General features: G+C 34.4%; 1 annotated feature.

Moving 5' to 3' along the window:
- Positions 578-747: an enhancer, noted in NCBI's record as "experimental_103615 CRE fragment used in MPRA reporter constructs". NCBI's record gives its function as "activates a minimal promoter by MPRAs in K562 erythroleukemia cells, with activity observed for both the introgressed and non-introgressed 8:70032908 variant alleles {active_cell/tissue: K562}" and the evidence as "EXISTENCE:reporter gene assay evidence [ECO:0000049][PMID:34662402]".

Below are 10,760 nucleotides of genomic sequence, written 5' to 3'. Positions count from 1 at the left end.
CTTGGGTGATGGGTGCACCAAAATCTAGAAATCACCACTAAAGAACCTATCCATGTAATGAAACACCACCTTTCCCCACAAACCATTGGAAAAAAAAATATTAACCTTTGGGTGATCACCTATAAAGTGAAGGTAAATTTTTTGATCCCTGATTCTGAATGCTATTTAATATTTAAAAGTTGAAGAGAAGAAGGAAAGTTATCAGACAAGACTAAAAGAAGTGAGCAGTGAGAAAAAACAAAAGAAAGTGTTATCTCAGAAGCCAAGTTATGAAAGGGTTTCTAAAGGATGGCATCATCAACTGCATTAAATATTGTTGGAAAGGCTAGTAAAATAAAGTGAGAACTGACTTGCTCTCATGGGTCTGGGATTCCCCTCTCCTACTTGGAAACACCCAGCATTCCAGACTGGTGAAGCTACTTCTACTCTGTTAGGCAGCACCAGGAGTGATAGTAGCATCAGATAAAGCAGATGAGAATAACAAAGCAAAGGGTCTGAAAATTGAACTGCTCTTGAAATCATAGTCTACAAAAGGAGGCCAGGACCTTGTAATCAACATAAACGGTGTGACTGCCTGCTAAAATACAAGATATAAATAAGATCCAGAGGCTAACATAACATACAAAATACCAAGAAATCATGTCTCATACAAGAAAATCAAGCTGAAGGAGAAAAGGCAATCAACACCAAAAGGTAAGGCTCATACTGAGATGAGTCAGATCTTGGAATTATTCGAAAAGGATTTTAAAGCAGCCCACATACATGCTGCTATAATCAATTATAAATTCTTTTGAAACAAATAAAAATAAACCCAGTCATGAATAGAAATTATAAAAAGAACCAAATAGAAATTAAAGAACCAAAAAACATAATAATGGAAAAATAAATTTGCCGAATGGACTTAATATTAGAGTGGATATGACAAAGGAGAGAATCAGTGAATTTAAAGACATATCAATAAAATTTATCCCAATCCAAACAACAGGGAGAATGCAGACTGTAAAATAAACAAACAAACAGAAAACAAAAATAGCACCTCCAACACCTGTGGGACAAAATCAAAAGATCCATCATGTGTTGTATTAGAAGCCCACAGGATGGGAGAAAGTGAACCTGAAAGAGTATTCAAGGGAATAATGGCTAAAAACTTCCCAAATTGGGCAAAAGACATAATCTTGCAGATTCAAGAAGCTGAGTGATCTCAAATAGAATAAACTCAAAGAAACCTGTGCCAAGACATATCATAAATAAATTTCTAAAAATAACTGAAGACAAAAAAAATATATATTGAAAGCAGCCATAGAGAAACAATGCATTTCCTATAGGGACACCAATTCAAGTGATGATGAACTTTCATCTGAAAGCACAGAGAACAAAAAGGCTAAAAGCAAATAACTTTCAACTGTCAATTCTACATTCAACAAAAGTGTACTTCAAAAATTAAGGCAAAATAAATATTTTTTCAGATGAAGGAAAACAAAAAGAGTGTGTTGCCAGCAGGTCTACTGTTAAAGGTTGATGAAAGGAAATTCTTAAAATGAAAAGGAAATGATAAGAGAAAGAACCTTAGAGCACTAGGAAAGAAGGAGGAATAAAAAGAAGTATAGCTACACGTAATAGTCTATCCTTTTCCTCATGAGTTTTATAAATCATATTTTATGAATGAAACAAAAAGTTTAACATCATCTCAGACTCAAGACAATGGTACTTAAAGTGGCAAAGGTAAAATAAAGTGTTAAAATATTGATATCAGTAGAGGAATTATTTGTCATACATATATACAGTAACACACAGAACAACCACTATAAAAAATACACAAAAAACAATATAAAAAAGCCAAGATAGAATCCGAAGAAATGTTCAAGTAATGTATCATAAGGAGTGAGAGACAGAGGAAAGAAAACAAATAGTTTTATGTTAAGTTAAAATTGGAAGTTTCTTGAAAAATTCAACATGTAATCATCCATAATCCAGCAATTGCACTCCTATGCATTTTACATGTTCACATATAATTGTTCATAGCAAACTTTTTTATCCATAATTGCCCCAAACTGGAAGCAGCTCAGATGTTCTACAACGGATGAATGGTTAAAGAAACTGTGGTACACCCATACCACAGAACACTACTCAGGAAAGAAAAGGAACAGACTATTGATACATGCAACAACTTGCATGAATGTCTAGGATGAAACAATTAATCTCTAAAGTTTACATACTCTATAATTCTATCAATATAGCATTTTGAAATGACAAAATTTTCCAAATGGAGAACGGATTTATGGTTGTAAGAGATTGGGATACAGGAGTCAGGGAGTAGCTGGATGTGGAATGGGAGAGAGGTCCACATCCAAATATTAAGACTGAGTGAACTTTCATTATTTTATTAGTGCCAAAATATTCTCTCTCTCTCTCTCTCTCGTTCTCTCTCAATGGTAGCAGAAGTAAAGAGGGAAGAGGGAGAAATTAGTTTCCAAAGGGTAACTTTGACTGGTGAGGCCTGGAGTCCTGTTTATTTGTAACTGTACTACAAAAATGACATAGGGCTGACAAGTGCTGTTATTTAACAAGCAGCAGCCTGAGAGAGTTGAGCAAACAATCTCCATGTATTTCAAATGATCACCAAAACCAAGAATGGAGCAATGAGAGGATAAGCATAATGCATTAACTGAGTCACTGTCTCCATTTCTTCCTGGGAAAATGCAAAAATACAAAACACACACACCCAAAAGGATACAATGAAATCCCTTCTGAGATGTCTTTTATTTCACTGGGAGACAGGATGTGACTTAAATAGATTTTATGGTATTCTTAAAAAATAAAATTACCTTGAGTAAGGACATGATATAAATCACAAGTAGTATGTTCTGTGAAAATGTCATGGAGAAGAATTCCATAGCTGCAGATCTTTTATCTAAAAATAAACAAAAGACAGCAATTACACATTGCCCTGCATAAAACACTGAGCAATTACAGTTGCATAGGTTTTTCAAAAATTCCAATATATTCAGTACTATGCTTACAACACCTTTTCCAACATGAATACACTTCTACATGAAAAAATCCATTAGTGCTTTCTTTAAGCCAGATTGCTTGGTAGACAAGCTCTGAGAATTATCAGTCTTAATCAAAAAGGCATGTGTCTATGGAACAGTTTTTTTTTCTTTTCCCTCCTTTTACCGTCTTTGTCATGTAATAAATTAATTATTCACATTTATATCCACTTCACTTTTATGTAGAGACTAGGCCTATATCAAGTATCTCTTTGTTTATCTATCTTAGTCAAAGTGTGGTCTGATTTGGCCTAATTTATCTTGTTCCCTTAAAGAAACATTTTCTAATGCCCTAATCTGTTTCCTATAAAAACATATAATCCCATATTCCTGAAGTCTCAATTACTTTTCCAATAAACATTTTCCTATGCCATTCATTAAATATCACTATTTTTGTATTAGTTTGCTAAGGCTGCTGTAGCAAATAGGGCAAACTGGGAGGTTTAAAGTGGCAGAAATTTGTTCTCTCACAGATCTGGAGTCTAGTGGCTCCAAAGTCAAGGTCTTGGCAGGGCCATGCTCCTCCTGAAGCCTCCTGGGAAAAGTCTTTCCTTGCCTTTTCTGTTTTCCAGTGGTTGCTGGCAGTTCTTGGTGGCAGATGCATGACTCCACTCTTTGCTTCCATTGTTGTATGGATTCTCTCTGTGAATCTGTGTCCAGTTTTTCCTCTTCTTATAAGGACATTAGTTATTAGATTTGAGTCCACCCTAATTCAGTATGTCCTGATTTTAATTTAATTACATCTGTAATGACCCTATTGCCAAGTAAAGTAATATTCACACATACTGAACATACCTAACATATCAAGTTAGGACTTGAACACAATTTTTGGGGGAATGCAATTGAACCCAAACAATTCAGAAGTTATATCTTAAGTCATGCTAGTAGATTATGATAAGAAAGGTATGTGTTAGTTAATAGTGTTCACGTGCAACTCTAAGATTAATAAAATATTTTTCTGATTATAGTTTTCTTAATGTAATTAAAGTAACTGAGAAAATATACACATGATTTCCAGCTTTTTACACTTACAGGGATATGTCAACTTGAATAGAGAAAAATTAAGTCATGTTCACAGTTGAGTATAATTTACATAGTATTTTGAGTAATGAAGGATTTGTTTACTTCTGCATGGATGATTCCTGTATATGATACATATTTGAAAAGCACAAAAAGAAATAATCTTTCATCCTTCTTCCAGCCATTTCCTTCCCTAGAAACAATCATGGTATTAGTACTTTGTGAATTTTTCCAGAAATATTTTTCGCACATACAAGCTATATATGTATGTATGTATGTATGTATGTATCTATCTATCTAACCTTTTATCTATCTCTATTATCTATCTATTAAAAAGTCGCAACACACAAATTGTAGCATAGTATCCACATTCTGCACCATTCTCTTTCACTTAATAAACAAAACTCACTTTTTACCCCTTATTCTCTTCTAGGTACTGTCCTATTTCTTCAGCTTCTTTTTATCAAAACACCTGCAGCAAGTCTTCTCTCCACATTGTTCCCTTTGACTCACTTCCTCCTCCCGCTTGCCCCCTCCCCACTCCACTAGAATTGCCTCCACCATCCAATAGTGATCCCCTGCATCACTGTCACTTTCACTTACCCTATCTTCCTACACGTCACTTCCTCCTATTAATCATGATAATTTATGTATATTTGTTAATTGGTTGTCTCTCAACTAGAATGTAAGCTCCACAAGTGCAGGGGCATTAATTGTCTTAGTAGCTATTTTACTCCCAGCAGCAATTTGATGATGAAAAACAGTATCTTGTAGTTTTAATTTACACTTCTCTTAATATGAGAGAGGGTGATCACCTTTTCAGATGTTTAAGAGTTATTTCTATTTTTGTTTTAATGTACTATCTGTACTATCCATACATATTCTTTGTCTATTTTTAATTAGGTCTTGGTTTTATTCTCATTGATTTATAGGAATTTTATATGTCAAGAAAATTCGGATTTTTTTCCTCTGACCTGCTCTTCACCACCATACCACAGTCCTTCCTTTCATTCCTCAGCTGGCCTCATTTGGATTTAAATATTCTTTGCTTTTCAAGCTCGCTCCAATTTCCATGCTTTTGAAATACGCTGTCCTTCTATTACAGAGTTCATAAGTTCATAAATTAGGCGCAGGCACCATTGTCCCCACGTTGTCTTCCCTTGCCCACCTTCATGCCAAAGTGGATTTACCATTCAGTCAGTTACTAGTACGGATGCTCAGTTTCCATAAGAAAATGTTACTCCTATCTTCTATACTGCATATAATCAAAACATATAAATTTGCCACCAGTCAGCAACTTGGAATATTTATAAATCAGATTTATTGCCAGAAAATATAAGTTCACCTCTCTGCCCTTTCTGTAACTACTCATGTATCCTATTTGGCTTTTTTCACCAGAGAGCTTTGATCCAAATCAGCTAATCCCATTTAGCAACTTTTGGAGACCTTTGGTTGATAATATAATTATATCTCTATTAATAGCCATAACTTCTTTTAACTTTATATATATATAAGCTACTTCAAAATCTTTTAGAAGTGGCATATAAAAAAATTTATATAGCATCCAGTGGAATACCTGGCACATATATTAAAAAAAGAATAATGATATTCTGATGATTAAAGAATAAATTCTGTATAATGCTTTTTTCTTTTCTTAACTTTTAAGTTCATGGGTACATGTGCAGGATGTGCAGGTTTCTTATAATACATAGGTAAACGTGTGTCATGGGGAAACTTTTATATGGATTACTTCATCAGACAGGTATTAAGTCTAGTACTCATTAGTTATTTTTCCTGATCCTCTCCCTCCTCTCACCTTCCAACCTCCAGTAGGCCCCAGTGTGTGCTGCTCCCCTCTATGTTTCCATGTGTTCTCATCATTTAGCTCCCACTTGTAAGTGAGAACATATGGTATTTGGTTTTCTGTTCCAGTGTTAGTTTGCTGAAGATAATGGCTTCCAACGCCATTCATGTCCCTGCAAAGGACATGATCTTGTTCCTTTTTATGGCTGCATAGTATTCCATGGTGTATATATACCACATTTTCTTAATCCAATCTGTTGTTGATGGGCATTTAGGTTGATTCCATGTCTTTGCTATTGTGAATAGTGCTGCAATGAACATTCACATCCATGTGCTTTTATGGTAGAATAATTTATATTCCTCTGGGTATATACCCAGTGATGGAATTGCTGGGTCGAATGTTAGTTCTCCTTTAAGCTCTTTGAGGAATTGCCATACTGCTTTCCATAATGGTTGAACTAATTTACACTCCCATCACCAATGTATATACGTGTTTTTTTTTTCTCTACAACCTCACCAGCATCTGTTATTTTTGGACTTTTTAATAATAGGGATTCTGACTGGTGTGTGATGGTGTATCATTGCGGTTTTGATTTGCATTTCTCTAATGATCAGTGATATTGAGCTTTTTTCCTATGCTAGTTAGCTGCAGGTATGTCTGTGCTTAGGATGATGGCCTCCAGCTCCAGCTTTTCTCAAATTAAGAAAAATCTTACATATAGAAGGTTGTTGAAATGGTAAAATATAGCATAATTTTTCAAAAAATAATAAAATGATTAGCAACTGTACATTGCTCCCAGCTCTAACATGAATGAATAACATGCAAAGTGTCTGTTTAATGTTAACTTGTATTAGATAATATCTGCAGTTCAGGGTAGATTTAATTCCAGATTTGCTATTTCAAATGTAGCAATTGTAGATTTTCTTTTACTATCTTCTCCTTATAATAAGAAATAGATTATTTACATTGCAAAATTATACAAACAAATAGAGCCCCTTACACATAATGTGCTTGTGAATGAGAAGCATAGGTGAGTATAGTCATATACAAGTTCAGAAATCTCAGCTTTCTCAGAAATGGAAGGGAAAGCTCACAAATCATAATGTTATTGCAACATTTCTGGTAGAATGAGACATTTGGAGGGCAAAATTTAATGAAACACTTTGTATAACTTTAAAAGTTTTACATTTTAACTGACATTTGAATATATTAGACAACATAAAAAGAAACTTTCCATTTTAAACTCAGTATGTTGGAGTAAACAACTAATATACATAATATTACACCAAAAAGTGACATTATATCAGTATAATAGAAGTCTGGATTGAGTTTTGTTGAAATTTGATAAAGCTTGGCGAGATTACATTAAAAGTGGAAGAGAAAATTTCAAGCAAATTAAAAATTTTTAAATGACTCTATCCCAGTGTCATTCTTACTTTTTAAAATAATTCAATTAATTCATTAATGAGTGCTTATAATGTGTGCCAAGATTGTTTTGGACACTAGAATGAATGAATGGATGTTAATAGTTCAATATTCTAACTAGGCCTTTGAACTAAGCCTTTCAGGTTTTCATAAAACATTTATTTTGGCATAGAAAATACCCGACCACCCATCTAGAATGTTCCAGAATGTTCTTGAATGTTCTCCATTCTGCCCACCTATTTTTTTTGTTTTATTTTAAACCCTCAAGTCAATTCTATCTAGCCCCTTCTGTAGAACCTTTTGTGACCCTTTGGCACAAGGCCTTGCACATAGTAGATGACCAATAAGTACTTGTTAGTTTAATATCAATGATGGAAACAGCATTCAAAATGTACTATAAATATGCCTTCAAACACATTCATTTTTATGAAAGACTAAACATGTGAATCTAGTACTATATGGTAAATAGAAATCTGCTAGAAGGGGGAAATATGGATTCCCCTAACTAAAGAGTTCTATAATTCAATAAATATAGATAAGTAAATAAGCCATTAAGGACAGGTGTATTTCAACTTAAACGTTTACATGATTGCAAGAGTCAAATCTATCTTGAGTAGCATTGGTAGACTTAGCAAATGAAAATATGGGCCACTCAGTTAAATGTGAATTTCAGATAAACAACAAAAAAGTTTTTTTGTAAAAGTATGGTGTTGTTTATCTGAAATTTAAATTTTACTAGGCTTCTTGTATTTTGTGTGGCAACCCTAATCTTGAGGCGTAGTTCTGTCCTGTTTTGTGCTAAAGGCCAACACTGGGTTTTCTAGTGGAGAAGTTAGTGGGCACACTGCCACTTTGTGGCAGCCAAGAGCAACGACATTATCGCTTTTGGGAGAAAAGAGGTGGTAGTCCAATGATTATTTTATTTCCAGTGTGCATAACATATCAGATACTAAGATAAACTAAAATGACCTTTAAAGAAAGAAGTATGGAAACCGCCATGCTTATCACAGATAACATTAGTTATGGTTGGCATGGGGGCAAGATTTACCTCCTTTCTGAAGAACTGATATGCCAACATTTCTACATAAGGTTTTGGAGAAATGGGAGGATGGCTTTACCAGTGAATATTGCCAGAAACAATATGTGAACTATTCTCATGTCACCGGCAGTAATTATAAGGAACTGCATATAAGAACATGATGGTATGAACTGCCAACACAGTTCTGCTTTTATTTAGCACTATCAAGCCAACGTTTGTTTTTATAAGACCTCTAAGGCAGTCATTTTTACCAGTAAGAAGGCGAAAGGATAAACCAATTTCCTGAAGGTTGCATACCAGATCAATAATAGAGTTGGAGGGACGAGTAAAAATTCCCTACCTTCCAACCGTTGAAGACTTTCATTAACTCAGGATCACTATTGTTTTCTGAAATGAGCCTCTTTCAAGACCCTTAAAATATTATTTCAGAAATACTAGCCATACATGTGGAAGTAATAATCTTGTGATAATTTAAGGCATCCTTGTAGAAACTAAAGAAATCCCAAGTTAAAAATTCTCAGATATCTTCAGAATCTCCAAAGCAAACAGAACCTTCAAAAATTTATCTTCCATTGTCCCTTTTTCTTCTTAATGAATCATTTACCTTATACTTTTATGTTTTTTTGAAGAATAAGTATTCTTGAGATATAGTTATTTTTTAAATCCACACAAGAATATATTTAAAAGTTTGTTGACAATAAGCTATCAAAAACTTATTTACTAATACTGTAAAAATTATTTTAATTAATCCTTAATTTTGTGTGGCTACACTTAACACTCAAACCTTGACAATAAACAGAGGTAGAAAGTAGAGGTCCAAAAATACACCATATCATTATTTTCATTTGTATTAGAAACTACAGCAGGTATAATATATGTTAAAGTATTTGAAGCTATTTTTACCCTGAAAAATAAGAAGTTATTGGGCCTTATTCATCTTAAAAAAATTATGGGCTTAGTAGTTGTCAAGCAAAGGCAAATATTGGTTGATTTTCCAGAAGCCACAGTTGGCTATAATACTTTATTGAGAGTGTTTCAGTTTCATCTTGGTGGAAGATTACCCAATACATCAAAATTTCAGTAATTTGTCTACAGACAGTTGACAATTAGAAAAATATGTATGTCACATTATTTAGTTTAGCAATCTGCCAAATATGCCATGTAATTCTATGATGGAAGAAACAGGGCAAGGTCATGCTGGCCTTAACCACTTGCTGGAAGAACTGCTGACCTTACACAAGCCTTTAACAGTGACCTGGGTGTGCCAGAAAATAAGTAGATAGTGTGGAAAAGAGAGATCATATGAGACTGGGTGGGAAATGAGTATGAACAGAATCTACTACACTAACGCAAATTCTTTTGGTGCGTTTGTGTGATTTATAGTATGTGAAAAGATGGTCACAATGTATTCAGACAAAATCAGTACCATGCAGAATGCTTTACTAAAATACAGGTTTGTATCACAAAATAAGTTGCGGGTGATATTGGAAAGTGAGTGTTTCTATTTTAAGAGTAGCTGGTCATAAGTTCAGGACTTCTTTTGCTACCTTTGTCCATAGAAATACAATGACTTCCAGGGGCTTAGATCTTCCCTGTGCATTTGTATATAAGTACAAATGTGTGCTGCTATTATTGTTACTTATTTTGCTTACCAGTATTGCTTTTTTTGTCACTCCTCTGCAATGTACCTTCCACCTCTTTGGTGTGTCTGAATAGTATCCAGTTCCATTCTACCACTTTCTTCCCATTCTTAATCCAAATGATGTCATAACATAATTTATTCTTACAGAGTTTATCCGGAAACTCACTCAACAAGGCACAGTAATTATCCTATCTTTGACAATGAAGAAAACATGAATATATGAGCAATGTTAATAATTAGCAGAGACCCAAATTGTTTTATTTTTATGTATTTATTTTTTTAAGACGGCTCTCGCTCTGCTGCCCAGGCTGGAGAAAAGTGATGTGATCATGGCTCACATGATCCCTGTGAGCTCAGTCTCTGTGAGGCTGCCTTGACCTCATGGGCTCAAGCAATCCTTTCCCCTTAGCCTGCTGAGTAGGGGGACCACAGGTGCGCACCACCATGCAAGGTTAATTTTTGCATTTTTATTAGAGATGAGTTTTCACCAGGTTGTCCAAGCTGGTCTTCAATTCCTGGGCTAAAGCGATCCGGCCACCTTGGCCTCCCAAAATGCTGAGATTATAGGCGTGAGCCACTGTGCCCATGCCCACCCTCATCCCCCAAGTCACTTTAAAATCTGGACTTCATTTCATAAAGATACAGCCCTAAGAAATATTACACATGCTCAAATGAAATTATTTAAATCCTGTTCTATAGAAAGTGGAATCCAATAAAAGAAATTGAAGGTAATAATATTCACTTGAATGTGTATGTGTTTTTCGGAATTTAAAAGAAACA

Source organism: Homo sapiens, chromosome 8 (assembly GCF_000001405.40).
Source record: "Homo sapiens chromosome 8, GRCh38.p14 Primary Assembly".
In the NCBI taxonomy this organism is placed as follows: domain Eukaryota; kingdom Metazoa; phylum Chordata; class Mammalia; order Primates; family Hominidae; genus Homo; species Homo sapiens.
This window is presented reverse-complemented; position numbering and strand designations above follow the sequence as displayed.